Genomic DNA, 21,209 nt, shown 5'->3' on the forward strand with positions numbered 1-21,209 from the left:
AAGAAAAATGAAAGCATGTATCCAGAGAAAGATTTGTATATGAATGTTTACAGTTGTTCTATTTATAAATTTATCAGGTACATGGATAAACATACTGTGGTACCTCCCTACAATGGAATAATACATACCAATAAAAAGGAGCAATCTATTTACAGAGAGAACTTGCATATATCTCAAAGGTCAAGCTGACAGAAACAAGCTAGTCTCAAACAGTTCCACATGTTATGATTACATTTATACGACATTCTCAAAGAGACAAAACTATAGTTACAGAGAAATGGTCAGTGGATGCCATGGGTAAAGGTGGGAGAAGAGTATATCTACAAAAGGACAGCAAGAGGAAGTATTGTTGGGCATTGGAACTGTTCTTGTATCCTGACTGTAGTGGTGGTTATACAAAACTGCACGTGTTAAAATTCACAGAACTTCATATACCACTCAAAAAGTCAATTTTCTTATATGTTAATTTAAAAAAATCTTCTAAGGAAATGCACAGATAGAACATAAAGCAACCATTTAAATGTCAGTATTCTTTTGTATTTTTACTGTTATTTATCTAAGAGTATCTAAAAATTCCACAGTAATAGGACAAGTAACTTACTAGATACTCCAGTATGCCTATAAAAATTACATAAAAACAAATTTAAGAAATTGAACTTTTTTGCCAAACAACTGAAATTTAATTTATACCAGATTATACAAAATACTTAATGTAAAACTAGTTACCAAACCTAATTAGCAAATGTACAGTAATTGACCTAATTGGCAAATTTCTTATTATTTATTGAGATCACTGACTACCCAGCTGGGCTTACTAAAAAACTGAGAAGTAGTCAAAAGACTAAAGAAAAAAAATCCAAATATATTGAACATGGGAGGGATTTTGCTCTTAAATTTAAGATTCTCTGTAATCAACTGTGAAAATCTGAATACATTTGTTTTCTAGGTGAACAAGGGACAATAATAAATCATAACTGTCAATTTTGCTCAAAATATGGTTTAGGAGTACATTTTGGACTTCTCAGGCAGTTAATTGGTTTTGCAGTTTTGAAGGATGTGGTGCTCAGTTTTTGAGGGGTTGAAAACAACTCAACTGCTAGAATTTCAGGAGGAAAACAATAACTATAACAAAATTCACAGTGGCTTTTTAACTAAGGTGACTTTTTTGGAAAGTTACCCTAAATGATCTGACCAGTTTCATGTATCATAATGATTTTGAATTGAGATAAGAATAATTGGTACGTGATCTCAGAAAATCTGAATTTGAAGGACGCCAATAACAAACTAGATAACCACTGGCAAATTAGTAAACCTCTTTGATCCTCAGTTTACTCATTTGTAAAATAAACTATCTGTATTAGATAAGAAGTTCTAATCTTTACTATATTACATATATCTCTGTGTGCGTATCTTAGATTCCTAAGCAGGGCCCAACCCAGGTCTGAGTTGGGGCTCAGGGGTGCATCATTGTAATAGGAGCCTTTGTGGTGCTGAGGCAGATGGTCCTTAGTGCACGCCTTTAGAAACACTGGACCAGAGAGACAGTCCCTCACTCTTGCAGCTTTAACACTTGAATGCAGTCAGTGTCTTCTTAGCCTACTTTTGTGTCATCCCTCTTTTCTCTTTAGCAGAGACCAGACTATTAGATTTGTCTTCTTTCATATCAGAAAGGCAAAGAAATTACTATGGTTTTCCTTAGACCTGTATTTTCTGAGAATAATATAGACAACCTCAGACAGCCCAGGGTGAGCTTCCTTTTCAAAACTGCTTTCAGATGGGATGTCTTCTACCTCGTAGGTTCACCTTCCCTGTAATTTCTGTAATTCAAACAGGCCTCATAAACCACAACTGATCTTTAAGAAGTCACCTTTCAGATTGTCTCCCAAAAAAAATTTAAACTCCTAAGTGAAAGATGAAGTAATATGATATAAAAGAAAATCTAATGATACCCTTAAAATAAGATTTTACTCAGGCAAACTAAAAGGCCTACTAAAGAAAATTATCTTTGACCTTTACTTTCGATTTCTTATGTAATCCTACCCAGTTGCTTTTCCAACAATAAGAGAAAAATTACATTTAAAAATATTTTGATATTTATTTAAGGGAATTCTACTATTGGCTCTCAAAGGAAGTTTTAATTTTATTTGAAAGGCAAAGCAAATTTTAGATTAATCTTAGCCTCTGAGTTTAAAAATGCAAATGTTTCCAATAATAATGATAATTGACATGCCAGCACATGACATTTGCTTTGAGAATATTAAAGCTGAGGAAATATGGATATAAACATTCAACATTAAACTTTGAGATAATTATATTAATCCTAAATGAATAATAATTCTTCAAAAATAAAAATAATCTTTAAATGCTAAAAGAATCAACATAATCACATTTATTTATGCTATGCAAGTATACATACTGTGTGGAAGAATCCAGAAGCAGGGTTGATACCTGACACTCTAGCCAGAATCTGATGAGACTGATAGTTTGGAACTCAGTCCCTTTCCTTACAAACTAGGTTGTCTTGGGCAAGTAATTTAACTTTGCTGAGCCTCATTTTCTAAATCTATAAAATAATAACAACCTATCAAATCTTTCTGCATTAATCACATGTTAAATGAGGATAAAGACACCTTTTAATTAGAATTTTCAAATATCTAAACTGTGGTGCTTGCAAAGTTTCACATTCTTTTCACGTTTGTAAAATTGAAAACATTTTACTAGTCCCCATAAATCTGAAAAAGAATTTCTAATTCTAGTTTTCGAAATTCAAAAGAAAAAGAGGCACGTTTCTGTCTTATTAATGTATGGTTTTCTTCTTGTTTTCCTTCGACGGTCGTCTGTAACCTCCCTTTTGTTTTGTTTAGGTTTTTAATCGACAAATAATAATTTTACTTATTTATAGGGTACAATGTGTTGTTTTGATGTATGATTAAATCAGGGTAATTAACAAATCCAATGCTTCATATACTTACCATTTTTTTGTGGTAAAAACATTTAAAATCTACCCCCTTAGCAATTTTGAAATATACAGTGCATTATGATTTATTATAGTCAGCATTCTGTACAGTAAATCACTAAAGCTTATTTCTTCTATCTATGGAAACTTTGTACTCTTTAATCAACATTCCCCTTTTGCCATCCAACTCCCCACCTCCAGCCTCTGGTAACCACCATTCTACTCTTTATGACTTCACCTTTTTTAGATTCCACCCGTAAGTGAGATCATGCAGTATTTGTCCTTTTACACCTAGCTTATTTCACTTAGCATAGTGTCCCCCGATTTCATCCAAGTTGTCAAAAATGACAGGATTTCCTCCCCTTTTAAGGCTGAATAGTATTTCATTATGCATATATACCACATTTTTTTAATCCATTTATCAGTTGATGGACACCCAGGTTGCTTCCATGTAATCTTGACCTAAGTTACAAATTTGCGAACTCTTTAGATTCTTATATCCTTAGTATATGAGAAATATTTAAATCAATAAAGCATCATAATTGTAAAAAAAAAAAAAAAACAGAAGAACAAATATGACTGTGGCAGCATCAATAGAAACCAATTGGTTTGTGTAAATTAAAAAAAAAATCAGATAAAACTGAAATCAGTCACTTAGAACAATATTTTAAAATCAGTATCCTGAGCATATGGTCATGTCTGGGTTTTCATTTCCAAAAGAGTAAATCCCTGAAGATACTTTGCATATTTTTATCCTCTCAGTTAGACTTTGCTCTTTAAAATAAAACCTACCCTGGTTAACACCGTATCTCCAGAGAAAAACACAATGCCTGCTACTTAATAGGTGTTAACTTTTTATGTAATTGATGAATGAACCAATGAAAAATGTATAATAATTCTTAAGAAACAACAAGTAGTGTTATCTACTCATAGCCAAGTGAAAGGACAACTAAATATTCTGAAGAATAGCGCAAAAATTGTGCTTACCCCTTTAAAATACAAGTGATATCAATCGTTTACTAGTTCCAAACAAAGCACTTTCTTTGCATTTGCTTGAGGCAGTAGAGCATAATGGTTTGGGGCAGGCATACTTTTTGGGTCAGATGAGAATGGGTTAGAATCCAGGCTGTCCTTATAAACACCATTAACTTGGGCAAGTACTTTCATTTGTTGAGACTCATTTTCTTTCTTGCAAAACTGGGAAAATCAATTTTAACTTATGACGCTACTGAAAGATTTAAATGGCAACATTTTACTGGCTATTTGTTAAGTTGCATACCTGAGAGGACTCCTAGCCCTAAGAGTGAAAAATTAAATCAATATTATTTCTGAACAACTTTACTTAACAATTATAAGAGCTGAGTAAGAAAGAAAGAAAATTTGTATTATATGAGATGCATACAAAATATTTTAGCATAAACCAGAAATATTTTTGCATAAGCCAAGAAAAGAGACAAAATGTTAACAGATTTAAGTGGTTAGAAATGTGCTTGACATTCATGAAAATGCAGTATTCCTTATACAAAAATAACAATTTAGTTTTATTAGGAAATACAGAAAACTTGAATAGAAATCTATTTCAGAAATACACTCAGAAATACTTAAATATGAATCCACAGTGAGCTGATTTATTTTGGGCATTAATTAGGTATTCTATTACATTATCAATCTTTTGATATTCTGCATTGCTGGCCTCATAAGACTGTTGCCTGAGTGAAACACATCTAAAGACTACCTCAATCTACCTTAAAGTTAAGGAGTAGCAGAGAACAAATGGCTGAATAAAGAGCTCCTCACATTTTATAAAACATTTCATTGTCTACTGCAAGCTACTTAGCTCAATTTAAATACTGAAATCCATCTTTAGCCTTCCAAATTATGTTTCTTATCAGCAATGTTAGTGTAGGTATTACTCTGAAAACTATTATAAACAGTGTAAAAAATATGTATGTAAGTCATGAAAATCATTCTGTTTCCCATAATGAAATCAAAAGCTCATTGCGTGTGGATGAAAGAAAAAATTGAGAGAACAGAGAGATGGTTTTAAGGAATATTTTGGTGATACTGCAAACCAACATGTAATGTTTTAAATTTATCATTAATTCTTCTTGATATTGCTTAGAATTCCAGCCATGTAGGACCTAAAAGAATTGTTCTGGGTTGAATTGTGGCACCCCCTCAGAGAGTATGCTATAAGCCTAACCCTCAGAACTTCAGAATGTGACCTTATATGGAAATAACGTCTCTACAAATGTTAAAATGAGGTCATTTGTGTGGGCTCCAATCCAGTATGACTGGCGTCTTTATAAAAAGGTGAAATTTGGTCACAGGGACAGACATGCACAGAAAGAAGATATTGTGAAGACACACCGGGAGAAGCTGGCTGTATGACTAGAGTGACGCATCTGCAAGTGAAAGAACACCAAGGACCACCAGGGAAAACCAGAAGTTAAAAGAAGCAGAGAATAATCATCCTAGAGTCATCAGAGGGAGCACTGCCCTGTCAGTACCATGATTTCAGACGTCTATCCTCCAGAACCGAGACAATAAATGTCAATAAACCACCAATGTCTTCAAACTTTGGTACTGAAGCCCTAGGAAACTAACACAGGGACATTCCAGAGCTTACAGTCCCATAAGCCAAAACACTGAGGTGAAAAAAGGTGAAATCTTGCTGACCAAGATCTTACAGTTACTTCAGACAGAACTCTAGAATCAAGAGCCTGGTTTTCTTGACTTTAAGTTTAGGCCTGTCATTTCCCCTTGGAGAACTGACAGATTGGAAATGCTAAATTTTAAAAAAGTTCATCAAGTTAATTCCTTTAAGCTATTTTATTTAGTGACTTCTGTTTAAACTAAAAATAAATACTGTGACTCTGCCCTTTTGATTTTTTTCTAAGTAGCCATGCTCCAATTTCTGAAGCCTTTTTAATCTAAAAGATAAAATTGAAATTCTTATTAACTTAGTTGATACTTCATTTTTATCTCATGATCCCTTTACTATTACATGCAAGAGGATGTGAAATTTAAAAACTATGATTAAAATTTTACAACAAAAACTATGAGGAAAAGGAAAGTGTCATAAAATACCATCAGTTATTTTAGTTAAATAGTCATTTTCTCATAATGTTTGAATTATTGTAACCTCCCCTAAGGTATCAATATTTTTAACACACAGATATCACGGAACATCTCCTTTCTGATGTTACTTGTAGGAACAATTATTTATTTAACTAATTTTTGAAACCGATGAGGCCAGAGAAAGATCTTCATGCATCTTTGCATCTCTAGCATCTAGGGCCACACCAAACACAAAGTTGGTGTTCCATAAAGGATGAATAATACATCAATTCAACAAGTATCTATTTATCAGATACTATGAGCTAGACAGTCCTCTATATGCTGAGTATAGGATAATAAAGAAAACACATAAGAATGCTTGTCATTATTGAGCTTATGTTCTAGTGAGTACAGACAGAGAAGAAATAAGATAATTAAATTAGACGGTATATTGGAAAGTAATTCTCCTCAGAACTAAGGAGAAAAATAAGGCGGGGAGCAAAATTTAGGGAATATGGTTGTTGCTATTTTAAGTAGGGTGGGAGGGGAAGGTTGTAGAATTTCAACTTGACATTTGACACTTGAGCAAAATATTAAAGAATGTTTCAGCATGGCTGAAAGCTTTAAATCCTAGTTGTGTCTTTTCACTTCTAATAAATAAGAGGACACTGATTCCCAGTGTACCCAGGATGGTCCTACTTTTACATGTATTTAATCCTAGTTTAACTATTAATAACTCCTCCTGTAATTCTTACTGGAATCTCAGATTGAATGATATATAGTCTCATTATTTAGATCATTATCTCTACATAATAGTTACAAATGTTTGTTAAATGAATGAGTTTTTAAAAAGGTATATCTCAGTCTCACATTTTATCATTTTTATTTGTCAAGCTGTTTAACCACTTTAAGCAGCAACTTTGCCATCAATCTCAAAACCGTGAAACCAAGATTGATGCTGGGAGAGTCTTTTAATATCCTTAGGTGAAAAACTCAAAAGATACACTTATGATTAACATCAACAATAACAATTTTCTCTCACTATGTAAGTTTTATTTAGTATCCCCCTTGTCTTTCATTTCACCGCTGAGACGAACATCTTTATAGAGGTCCAGATGGTGCAGAGAGATTATGACAATGAAAAGTAGCTCATGCTGAGGGCCTCAAGGAAAAACACGTCTCGGCTTGCCTGACAGACCAATTTCAATTACGTACTTACTATGCCCCTCAACAGCTGAGGTGCTCCCTCTTACCATGCCTTGTGCAACTTCGGATAACACCTGAGGGGATTCATGGTTACACACAAAAGAGAAGCGACATGGACAAGTAAAATTCTTCCTACTTTACATAAGTGATGCCACACCCATTTTAGAAATAGGGGATTCATCACAAATGATCCACTCTATAGAAATCTCATGTTTTCTGAGAGTAAATCTTAAGAGAGGACTTCAGGGTTCCTTGTTATGAGGACATTTTGAAACATCACGTGTTTGTCAGGCTGGCCCAAACAATTTCTACAGGCAGGTTGTCAGAAGAAGATGCCTTCACCTCAGATGTGTAACGCTTACTTCCCTCAACCCCCATTTCAGTTTCAGAAAGAAGTGCTAATTAGAACTGGGGTAGCTTTTGCGAGTCTGCATAAATTCAGCTATGTCAACGTTGCTTCTGCCCCTCTGCAAAGTGGAAAACAGTGATGTTCTACATACCATGTTAATGTAGAAATAACTTCTATGCTCATTTAGCCACTTCAGCACATCCAGGAAAATGACATTATGAATGAGCTACATTACCTAGAGGAAAGAGACAGACTAAATGTGGACTTCTATACAACTTAATATGCATCTAATGTACAACTTAAGCAGTATCTTCCACACTAAATGACAGGCAAGTTATCTCCATACATCAGTATATGTTAAGGACATGACACAGCTTTATTGTTGAAGGAATTTGAAATTTCCAGCCATACCTGGATTTTCCTATATCCATTTATTAGTCAGCTACTTGCAGAAGTCAAAGTAATTGCCACATTCATTACTGTGTTTGCCTCCATTTAATCAGTTTTGCTTAAGCTTCTCCTATCCTCCTCTGGAATCCAGACAAGCAAAGGCCACTATCAAAAAGTGACAATGTTACATATGTATACGTATGTGTGCACATTTTGCCACTGCTAAAATCCCTTTATTTGCGTTATGTAAATGACCTACGTTAGTCACAGGACATTTACCTCAATTTAATATCTGTTATTTAGAGTGCTTGTTTCTGGCAAGACAAATGTCAACAGTTTTTGAAAACTAAGCACTGTTTATTGTTTAGCTGGCAGTTATAAATAACCACATCTAACATTTCTGTTATGTCTTTGGGAAAAAAAATTGTAATTTTTGTAAACCAAAGTGTTTCACGAGAAATTGCCACAGATTATTCCATAAGATCTTTCTTTATATTTCCAGCTCCCATTCTCTCCTCTTGTATTACATAACTATTTACTAGCCCTACAATGCACATATCTGATATTGAACTTACTGAATTATAGTCTGGTGAGTTGAATAAATTCTTTGTCATTTTTGGAAGGAACAAAGTCTGTGTATGCATTGACACACCTAAGTTTCATTAACCAACAAACAAAATTATATGCAAAGTGTCTTTCATTTTGACTACATAATATCAAATAACTAGCTTGAATGAATTTTATAGCCCCAACTGGACATCATCTCCATTTACAGAAGCCATGTGGGTCAAGTACCCAGCATCTTTCTGGGCACCTCATCTGTGAGTGGACAGGTTACCTGTCACCAGCAAAAATGCTTACCAATTATTAACCTTCCATTAAATCATCACCCAACACTTGGCCCTATTGTAATTACCCCCTTCAAATGGCTTTTCTATTACTATTTAAGGTCTGATTTAGATCACAGATATGTGTTAATATATCCATATCTGGGAACAGTGAGGAGCAGAAGGAAAAACATAGGCTAACAATTAATGGAGGGAAGAATGTGTCTTAGGCAATTTCTTAGATCATCTTTAGAGAATACAGGACAACTGTAAGTAAATTACACATTGTACAGCATTGAAAAGTCCTTGGATTTGACTCTATAAGGAAACCACAGTACACTCATTAAGTTAGCACCAAACAGTTATGGGATCCAAGTCAAAATTATATAATAAAGGATGAATACAACAATGGCATTCAGGGTGTCAGCATTGGAAATATCTGCTTTAGCGTCTAAATATTTATTTGCTATACCTGGGAACTAATCTGATATCCATTTGTGTAGTTTGATCAATTTGTCTGTGAGTAATAAATTAGTAACCCACTACAAACTAGAAAAAAGTGTACATAAATGACCCCCAAAGTGGTTGACCTCTACATGTTCATGGGATGACTTTTCATAGAACCCCTTCAATTATCACATTGGTATTAGCAAGACCAATATTTTTATTTACAGATTTTCATGTAAGTGTGCATTCCCTCCCTTTTATGTAGCAGACATTTTATCCTGGCTAGAAAATCAGGTTTTTTAGACACTGTAATTGTTCTAGTCTTAAGATTACAGAATAGGATTATACAGTATACAAACGTACTGTTAAAAGGATTTTATGCTTATTCCTATCCCCTCGGTATTTAATAAGAGAGAATCCAAATCATTTACAGATGTCTGTGGGTAGTAAAGAAAAAGTCTATGTGTATAGTACTCATTATCGCTAAAGAAAAATAAACAGATCTGTGAGCGAGAAGGCAGGGAAGATGCTGGCTACCTGGAATATAAGACAGACACATACTGAGACCTGGACCCAGGGACAAGAAACCTTAGTTCATTCAAGCTCCTGTCTTCCTGGAAGGGATATCCCTATGGCTCTTCTTCCACAAGCCATTATTCCACAAACAATTAACTCCTTTAATTAAAACATTTTTCCTCCAATGGAGACTTTGCAAAAATGTTGAAAATCTCAAGAATTTAAACCTGAACAGAAGGTACAATATTTTTCAATATATTAAATTCTTGCTCCTGTTGTTTAAGTCTAGTTTTCCTGATAGAAAAAAACAACTGGATCAAAGAAAATGAGATAGTAATGGAGGAAAGTGATATTTTGGTTTTGAAATAAAGATGAGAGACTTTCCTTTTTCATAAGGACTTTAGACTTTTCCCCTAGTAACCTAAAATACACCTTTGCCTTTTATGGAATTGTCCCACTTGCCATTTCATTTCACTTCATTTCATTTCATTTCATTGGTAATGGGTGGAAGCCCATGCAGTGGTAATTGCCAGTGAGAACTGAAACTACCTATCCGCCATCCAGGTTACTGTTTACATTAACACACATTTACTATTTCATTGCTCTCATTGGTATAACAACTATTCTAGGAGAGCCATGCCCAGGTAAACAACTTGATGGTTAATTACAGAAAACTCCCAAAAGACTCATCAAGACTGCAGTAGGAAGTATCAACCAACAGTTTATGCCCTAAAACTTCTCTGAACCCCTTCCCTCAAACGTCTCACAATGCTATTTCCACCAATCCTAACTGTTACATCAGGATCATTATCCAATCTCAACCAAACCCTAACATAAAAAGGTCAGCCTTAAACCAAACTTCCAACTGTCAATTTATTCTGATTCTGCCTTTACTCTTCTGAGACCTTGCCACAGCCTGGTCTAGGTGGTCACTCTCACTGAAGGAAGCAATGTGTCGTGAGAAACACGCTCACCTGTCCAAACCCAAAGAATGGACCTGGAGGCACGAAGAACAGCGAAAGTGAGACTTTTAATACTAGTCTTGCAAGATCGGGTGTCTGGTGAGCAGGCACATCCAGGCAGTCACAACAGGTAATTTATCTCCTAGCACATAAGTCCTTCCCCCAGTTCCTCACTAATCAAGTACTATGGCGTTACAATCTTCCCGGACGTCACCTAAGTTTCATTATCCCCCTTGTAAGGTTATACCCTGCTCCACTTCTCCGCTTAAATTTTGATTTCCCAATAACAAAACTTTCTTCCCTTTTATAGGCTGACCCTTCGTCTACATTCTGTTCACTTATGGTGACCTTCTAGGTGCATGACCATGTGGTTTGTTACATTTGCAGGCTGGCTGCCAGTATTTAGATATATCATGCCTTGAAAATGGACCATTGAAATTATATTCTCACATGTACTCAGTTTGTCTTATCAATATTTCGTATAGGTGGTATTTGGGGAGCAGCCTTTTGACATCATCCATTTCTTACAAAAAGAGAAGTGTGTGCAGATTAGTGGGAAAGACTGTTCTAGTAAAAAGTATACATCATATTATGATAATCCTTCCTGAAGGAAATTTAACCTCTGGTTTCAGACGCCACCCAGGTTTTCCTGCTTTTTCGAATAGTCGGTTCGTCATTCCTCACGTAAGGAAAGTGGTAAACACACTACCAGAGGCCAGAGCAAGTATCATGGAATGGAAAGTTATAGGAGAGTCATTTAATAAACATATTCACTGCATAGTGTGGTTTAGCCATCCTCAGCTAATCATTTTTTTTTTTTGAAGCAGAGGCTTATTCTGTTGTTCAGGCTGGAGTGCAGTGGCGTGATCACAGTTCATTGCAGTCTCGACTTGCCAGGCTCAAGCTATCCTCCCACCTCAGCCTCTCAAGTAGCTGGGACCACAGGTGCACATCATCTCACCTAGCTAATTTTCAAAAATTCTTTTGTGTAGATAGGCTCCCCCATATTGCCCAGGCTGGTCTTGAACTCCTAGGTTCAAGTGATCCTCCCTCATCAGCCTCCCAAAGTGCCAGGATTACCATGCCTGGCTCTCAACTAATCTCTGAATTTAAAAAATTGCCTCTGAGAAAAGTAAGGGAGAGTTCTCTATTTTGTATGGATCCAGAGAATCATTTCAGGCATCAACATAATACCAAGAAGAACCAAGCCACAAAACCATTATGATAATGAGCTACCATCTACGAACACTTACTATTTATTGAGTACTTACTATAATCCAGGCAATTAGAATATACTGTCACTCTTAATCTTCACATCAGTCTTATCTGGTAGATGTTATCGTCTCAATTTTCAAAAGAAGAAAATGCTTCAGATAGGTTAGGGAACCATCCCTGACCACACAAACTAAAACTCCTCTATTCCAATCATCCTCTATTGAAACGTAATGACTTACTTTCTTCATGGCGTTTTTCACCATCTGAAATTAGCCTGTTCATTTATTCACTTGTTAACTCTCTGTTTTTCCCTCACAAATTTAAAGTTCAGATTAGGAACCTCACCATCTATCTACCTCTCTAACTCTACTGCCTAGAGTGGTACCTGGAATATGGTGGATGCTCGATCTATGTCAAGTGATACAGTAGCATATTCCACAAAGAAGCAAGGGCTGAAATATGTGTTTAAAAATTTCCCCACATAATTCTGATATGCTTACCTCCCTCCCCACCACAGATATGTCTGATATAAATATCTACGCTGACACACTGAAGGAAAAATAAGGCTTTTTGAATTTTTATATTTTCTGAGGGAAAAAAAACCAGAAAATTTATGTGAAAGCTCACTTTGACTGACAAAAGTGATGATTCTCTAGCAATAGCACAGCCCATGAATTTGTTAGCTTGCAATCAACTGCTAATAGCACATTTCAGTATTGCTGACTGGCTTTAGAGATTACTGTTTCTGTGTTGTTTTTCACATTAAAATTTCTTTTCTAGCATCAGACAGTGAGTTACTAGCTATAGGGAGTAAAAGGCAGGAGTAGAGGAGGTCTGTAGAATCAACTTAAAAAATTTTTTTTCATTGATTTAGTCAGTAATTCCATACATTTTTTCTGAACCACGGGTGACCTTCATACACAACCACCAGGTTGTTCATTTTGTTTTGTGTTTTAGAGCATCAGTAAAACATACATGGTCTTACTGAATTCTCAGCAACTAAAGCCACCACAGATCTGCCTTGAATCGGTATTCTCAAAGTGTCAGGTGTAAGGCTAGAAGAGAAGGAATGCTCCTCACTCCAATCAATTTGCTCATTCAAATCAATCTACTGCACTCGCCAGCCAGTTAACAACCTCTGGGTCGGCAAGCAAGACTTTTTTTTTTTCTTGCTTTTAAGATGTGAATCCTGTGGTATATTTAGCTCATGCTACTGTGTTTGTCTTACTGTCTCTCAGAAATGTCTTTACCCTTTAAAAGATCCATAAACATTTTCAGAAATATGGTGGCAATAAATAGATCTTACACCATAAAAGGCATTCTAAAGAAATAGCATAGACCAACAAAAACAGTTCAAAAAAATATTTTCTGGGAGCAGTTGTACCATGGAATTCCTCAAATTGTTTTTACTACAAAAGCAACAATTCAAAACCAAATTGCAATTCAAGATAAAAATATGAGTGATTTATGATTCCCTCTCTAGGAGAGGAAAAATATCTTTCCTTTATCCTTCCTTTGGTTCATGGCCAAGCCCCTATAACAAAAGACGGATTAAAAAGAGAAAAGCATATAAATTTATTTTACAGAAGTTTTTTGTGGCATGAAAAGTTTCATAACGAAATAATGACCTTAAGAAACAGGCAATCCTACAATTTTTAAGCTAGTTTTGATAAACAAATGGATAGTCATGGAAAAGAATGATTGGATAAAAAGTATGCTCTAGTGGTAATAAACTGGGAGAAACTTAGTAAGACCTGTCGGATCAGATTCTTCTCTGTAACCTTTGCCAAAGATAAGGAGGAACTTATATTCTCGGTATTGGCAAGGTATCTCTGACATGAGGGTCTTGTGACATGCATCAGGGGGAGGTGAGAAAATCCTTCCTAGGTTTTGTGGCCTGCTTCAAGAGACAAGGGAAGGAGAAGGTCAGAGCATGACCTTCCTACTTCAGTGTTCTTTTTTTATTATTATTATTTTTACTTTTTCAAATTCCTTCTTAAATTATTTTAAAGTAATTGTGACCAGAACCCCATCACCTCACTTAAAAACATCTGGAAACTGGCGTTTAGAGGGATATATCATCCGTCAAGGTCAGAGGCCAAACAGGTTTCTGAATAAAGCTGGATTGAAACTAGGTCTGACTGCAGGGGAAACAATACTGGAGTGCTGGGAAGGGAAGAGTGTGGTCGCTTTAAATGATACAGAAGCGGGGAAGGGAAGTGCTGGGTAGAGAAAGGCCAGTCCCTGGCTAGGGCTCCACCCCCACGGACCCAGGTGAGAACAGGCATTTCCTGCCCAAATGTTGCATTTCCCAAGACTACCCTGGCCCATCCTGGGCCTATAAAAACCGGAGACCCTAGCAGGCCAACACACAGAAGCGGCTGGATACCCTGAGGAGCACATCAGCAGAAGACGACACAAGCTGCTGGACGGCGAGAGAACATCGAGAGGATGTCCAGGGAGCACGTCAAGAGGACGTGGAGGGAGTATGCAGGTGGAAGAGCACACCGACAGACGTCGGCACAGCAGCCAGCCGTCCACCATCGAAAGGTGGCGGAGTTTGGCTGGAGCGACCAGAGAAGAGTCCGGCTGCAAAGCGGCCTGACTCCAGGGGAAAACCATCTCCCTCTGGCTCAGCCATCAGCTGAGAGCTACTTCTACTCAATAAAACCTGCCACTCATTCTCCTAGCCCACATATGATCCGATTCTTCTGGCACACCAAGGCAAGAAACCCCAGGATACAGAAATCCCTCTGTCGGAAGGGGATCTAATGGATCTGGTTAACACAAGCCGCCTATAGACGGCAAACTAAGAGAGCATCATGTAACACACGCCCACTGGGGTTTCAGGAGCTGTGAATATTCACCCCTAGACACTGCCATGGGGTCAGAGCCCCACAGCCTGCCAGTCTTTATGCACCCCTAGACGTTCAAACAGCAGGGCACTGAAGCAGCCAGCCACATCCCCATCGCACGCCCTGCGAGGGGGACAAGGGAATCTTTCCCATTTCAGAAGCTGGATTGAAACTAGGTCTGATTCCAGCAACAAAGCTCCAAGTTGCTGGCACTCTCTGCCATTTGTCCTCCTAATGTCTATGCTCCCTAGGAAAGTTATTCTCCAATGGGTCAAAGTTATCATCTAGTGTGTACATGTTCAGAAAAGCTAATGACATATGTTAGCGGAGCTGCCCCCTACAGCTCTGCTTCGGTTTGGGAGGCAATTGGTTGCTTTGCTATTTACCAACAATTTCAGAGGCGGGAGAGAAGTTTGAAGGATTTCTAAGGGATAGTGAGGGATGAAATAAAAACCTGAAGGAAAAACCCTGTGGGGTTTTCAGTTAACATTCCAAAAATAATTCAGAGACTAGGACTGGAAAACTTTGTATAATTTATTTTGCTTCAAATTATTATATTTTATGTCTCTTATACCCTAAAATGATTAGGAAGAAACAGCTAATAGAACAAATACACCAAGACTGGTCTTTGGATGTGGCAAAAATGCCAGGGTAGTCTCTTCCAATTTTGTACACTCTTGGAGGGAAAGAACTCCAGGGATTAGTGCATAAACTGGCTGCTTTAAGGAGGACAAAACAACTGCCACCCTGGGATTTATAGGAAGTGGGCAAAGGAGAATGTTAAAGTTGATCCATGAGGAACAGATTTGCCTTAACGAAAGCAGGTCCCAGGCGATTCCCCACATACAGCGCCTTCTCTGTCCAACTAACCCATCACTCACATTGCTATTCTTGACAGAAATGTCTGTCTGTCTTTTTTTGTGGTTACAACATTCTTCAAAGACCAACTCAAATCTCTCCTCCTCCAGAAAACTCTGTTGATCACTCTCTAATTGCCAGCATCTCCAGAATGCTTACTGCCTATATATCCTGAACTACGTAACTCGGAATTTAATTTTATAAGTGGGCAAGAAGGTCTTAACCTTCCCTTCAACTTGACCAAACTTCACACAGGTTTGTTACTGACCACAGGCCCTTGATCTCCCTTTTCTAAGAGGATTTACTTTAGACCACTTGGAATTGTAAATTCTTTCTGTGTTCCCTTAACACGTAAATCTTCTGCTAGACTCCTGTCAGTTTTACAACCCAGGAATGTCTTTCTCAAGGTCCTGGGAGCCATCCCTTTTGAAATAAAATCTTCAGGAATGCTACTGTTACTATCTCCCAGTCTTAGGGTGAAGGTAAGAGCCTAACCTCTACAAGCATCAATTAGCAAACACAGATGGCCTCGTCAGGATGACCAACGTTACCCAATTAAGTTTTCTAATACTTTTCCACTTGCTCACCCCAGTTATCAATAACTCTTCTTTTGTTTCAGCACAGTTCAGTTCTCTCTCTCTCTCCTCTTGCAATAGTCTTGATCCCTGTTGCAATAATCTTAAGTCTTCCTTACCCGCTTGTCCAGGATAACTTCTCTTTGATACACTGATAAATTCAGTAGCTATTTCCTGTGTGCTATCTTTCTTAGACCGGAATATAAGATCCTGTAACTATTTTAATTGAATAATGTGGTCTTTCTGGAAACTTCTCTGTTAATATAGTCCCTCTCTTCCCCTGTTTACTGCTTCTACCTTCCCCAGTACACACACACACATCATTGACACTTTATGACTGAATTCTAAGTTTTTTAAAAAATACGTATTTGTCCAGGTGTGGTGCTCATACCTGTAATCCCAACACTTTCGGAGACTGAGGCAGGAAGATCGCTTGAGCCCATAAGTTGAAGACCAGCCTAGGCAACAAAGTGAGACCTCACTTCTACAAAAATTAAAGAAAAATTAAAGAAAAAAAAATAGCCAGGCATGATGGTATATGCACCTGTGGTCCCAGCCACTGGAGAGGCTGAGGCAGGCAGTAGGATCACTTGAGCCCAGGCAGTTGCAGCTACAGTGAGCTGTGATTACTGCACTGCACTCCAGCCTGGGCAACAGAGCAAGACCTGTCTCGACAGAAAAAAAAAAAAAAAAAAGGTGTTTTGTTGTTGTTGCTGTTGTTTGTTTGTTTTAAATACATATTTGGACCTCCCTTCTCCACTGCTTTTTAACAAGGTGCTGAGTGGCTAGGAAACATTCAGTAAATACTAGTTTCCTTGGTGGTCAAAATATTTTTCTTCTCTGGAACTCAGAAAATAGATTACAGATGAAATATACGGGATAAGTCAGCCTGTGGTAGTCACCTCTAATGACTATTTTGACTTTCTTTCTTGCTTCAGTCACAGTAGGCTCAGAGTCCTTCTCAACATCACATTTCAGGCAGCCAGCACCACGCTATCAAATTCCGCACATAAATTGAAACCTACTAGCCTTTCTTAAAGATGCCCTTTTAATCTAAAGAATATTTGATTTTAAACTCTGTTTTTTGATGAGATTCATCACCTTCATGCTTAAAGAGCCATTTATTATTTGGTAAGTAAACTAGTTCACATTCCTTTTAAAAAATCAATATCAAAGATTAAACTAAGGTTTTTTTTTTTCCACACATTTGAGTTGCGAAATCACTGGCAGAGGGTGTCTAAAATGAAATAGACCAAAATATGCTCAAAAACAACAGATTTTTGTTTTCTTGAAAGACAAGAACTTTCCTAGTCAGTACATCTTCTAAAATAAGGCCCTTAGAATGTGATTGCCTAGAAAATATTCACTGCTTTTCTTCTTAAAGTGTTCATTGTTATTTTTGAAGAAATGAAGCAGAGTAGAATGTTACCAGTTTTAATAGCCATCACTTTTACTCATCATCTTTCTAATTCCTAGGGTTCAAAATATAAAGGAAAGAATAAAGGAACCACCATAATAGATTATGAAACATAGAGATGACCACGGAAATGGTCTTCTAAGATAAAAATACATGCAATGAATAATTGAGGGAGAAGAGTCACCATGCAGTCACTTAGTACACATTGTTTCCTGCCTTAAGAGGAGCCATAGGTCTAGGCATTTATTCCCCCCAAAAGTGGGGGTGAGGGTGAGGGGTGAGGGTGACGGGATAAGACTGGTTTCAAGGTAGGTTTCTAGTTGATTCAATAACCAAGGTAAACAGAGAAATGAGGTGATTCGAGTTTCTCAGGGACTCTCAAAGACAATAATATTTAGGTAAACAAGAAATATATAAGTGTTTTAAGGTTTTCATAATTTCTATTGCTTTACTATTTTTTTAACCCCTGGAGTAAGTGGGGGTGTTGTCTGTCTTGCTGCAATGGCCTCCTCTCTCTGAAAATTGTTGCCTCTTCCCATCCACATGTTGTACACACTAAGGTGCCAAGTTTGTACCTTGACACCTATCTCCAGCTACTCCTGTACATCAGGATACACAACTCACTCAAGATGACCAATACCATTTTCAGAAAATTTGCAATTGAGTGTGGCTTGTTAGTTTAAAATAAACGGATAAATTCCTAAGCAGTGAGACAAAATCTAAATGCAACACACATGGAAATAAAACATACAGGAGAGACCAAAAAGGGAGAAAAAAAAATAGAACAAAAACATGGCTGCCCAAGGTTCTCATCGGCTTTTCTGTCCCTTCATCAGGCCCTCGAAAGGACCCTTAAATTCTGTAAGATACGCCTGTGTCCTCATAATTCATTATTTTTGCTAATGGTAACATAAATGACTTTCTGTAGTTAAAAAGGAAAAAGAGAGTAAGATACTCTTAATAGTGCCTTTGTTTTTATAGGCAGTAACAATAGAAAACACTCCAAAGGACGCGAATGTCTTTTTAGCCACAGAAAACTGAAGGAGAAAGCTGTGCTAGCAATGATCTGAAAGGCAAGGGACACAGGTGGAAGGCCAGATGGTTGTTGCCAGAAGGGGAGAAAATGGGCCAAGTTCTTGATACCCTTGGGATATAGAGATGCAAGGTGAATAGAATGTTGGCCAGGAGACACAACTGGCCCCAAAGGATTTGACCAGGCAAAAGGCACTAGTCACTCATAGCTTTACACTATGACAGTTGAAATGCTTTTTAAATGGGTTCTAGAATGTTATACATGGAGAAAATCTACTCTTTCCCCTATCAGGCAAAAAAGGCAAGAGGGAAACAACTTTAAGCAAGAATGAAAATGATTTTTTCCTCTGACTAATTGAATTTTGAGGAGCCTTGAATGTCCCTCTTATTTCATTTTCTTTTGTTGTTACGTTAAAATAATCAAAAAATAGTTTTTTAAAGTTTAAAATATGTCTGCCTGTTTACTCAGACCCCAATGGAGGGTCATATTTCTGTCAATTCTTTGATTGTCAAAAAGAGTCAGGTTCTGGTACAAGATCTTTAACAACTGAATTACTCTGAATTCTGTTTTACTGCTTAAGAAGGATGGTTATATTTGTCTTTCATAGAATCTCAGAGTTGGAAAAAATCTTAGAAAATGTCAAATTTAATTTCTCATTCATATATACACACTACCTGTGTCAGTACTTTCTTGATATTTTTCCTTAAGTAGACTCAGTTTTTACCTCTTAATAGGAATTTAATAGAAAATCAATAACATGAACTAAAAACCAGTAGCATATTTCAGAAATAGAAAGTATTCATTTAAGAAAATGTTCATCTGAATATCACCTAAAATCAACTGGCATACACATATTAATGATAACATTTTAGTTGAAATAGAGTCCTTTCCTCTTGCCATCTAACAAGGATATCATGAAAGGCTTTGTAAAATATTGTGCTAAGAAGCAGACAGCTGTTAATCCCAAAACTCTTCACTCTAAATGGAAATCTCTTTCATCTAACTTGGCATGTTCTTAGTAAATACACCTTAATTCACTCTCAGTGTCCACTATTGAAGACCACATATACCCAGGAAGATGCTGTGACACATGTAAGAGGAGCAGTTCTTTGTAGAATAAATGCTTTGTAATGATTTTATTCTCTGCTATCTGAGGACTATCTGTATATATTGACTACTTGCACAAACGAAACTTTTACACATTCTATATGCTCACATTTCTTCAACATCTTACTGAACAAAACAATTTCACAGTAGGATACCAGTGAGGATTTTCATAATGAAAATCTGCATGAGAGCACAGTAATAACATGCTATAATTGCTCAGAGAGAAATAATTCTTCATGTCCAAGTTTGCCAATGGCACACTCCATTATTATTTGAAGTGGAACAGGTCACTTAAATTTCTCTGTATCCATGTCACAAGTTTCATTTAAGTTGTGCGTTTTACTTGCAAATTTACAAAGTGAAATATGGTTTATTAGAAGAGATAGTACTGGAAATTATTTGTCAGATGTCTTTTGTAGTAACATTTCTATTCACATCTTAGCTTCATGCAAGGAATAGGACCATATAAAAATAAAGCTAGAACACAAATCATCACATATTCATATGTCAGGACTCTGAGCTTAAAGAAGAAATCCCTTTTATATCTGTGATAAACTCAGATGTCTAGCTTTCCCTGCAACCATGCATATCCCTTACTGGATAAATTGCTAAAAGAGGTTCCCTATACAAATTCTTATCCATAAAAGCAGGCATCCTAATCTGTACTTGTCACTGTTATTTTCTTTAATATGTAAGTCAATTATAGCAAGCTTTAAATGGAACCTAATGAGAAATTCTCATAATTAAAGAGAAAACAGTACAGGAACTTCCTGCCAATATAAACTGTTAATTTCGCAACACATGCTCCATAGACTTTTTCCAATTTCTATATTTTATTCACACTGTGTGTTTCCCCAAAATAATGCTTTTAATGAAATTTTCCCATTGAGTACAATTTTCTTAATTTAAATGATAACTACATTTTTAATCTGAAACCTCTTTAAGATCCTCATTGGCAAAAGACAAGATTGAGAATCACTTCCATTTTCAGGAAATTGTGTAAAATCAGCATGGCAGATATAGCAATAGATGTTTCTCTTTATTTTCCACTTTGAGACCTGGGAGCTTATTATTTGAATAGCCATGAAAAACAGAATGGATTAACAACAAAAAAAGAGATCATACACATTTTTCTTATCAGAAGTCAAAATGGTATTTCACTTAACTGGCTAAAAATACGGAATGTAACATCTCATATATTAATGCATCTTCCTGTAAGATCTGTTCCAATATCTAAGCATATCCAAATGCTAAAATCCACAGAACAGTGCAAGGAAAAAATACTAGTAAAACCCAATGGAAAGCTACCATCAGAAGCTGAGTGTATTCATCTAGCTTTGCACTGCAGTAAAGTACATTCCGTAGAGTACATTCTGAATAGCAATAGCCTACCTTTAAGCTGCACTGTCTTACATATTTCAAATCACACTTTGTTT

At 36.6% G+C, this 21,209-nt stretch overlaps 1 protein-coding gene across 15 annotated transcripts in view; it reads right to left on the bottom strand.

Moving 5' to 3' along the window:
- Positions 1–21,209, bottom strand: part of NRXN1 (neurexin 1) — a 1,113,630-nt gene that overhangs the window by 914,836 nt on the left and 177,585 nt on the right. The window lies entirely within an intron of this gene.

This window comes from Homo sapiens, chromosome 2 (assembly GCF_000001405.40).
Source record: "Homo sapiens chromosome 2, GRCh38.p14 Primary Assembly".
NCBI classification, from domain to species: Eukaryota; Metazoa; Chordata; class Mammalia; order Primates; family Hominidae; genus Homo; species Homo sapiens.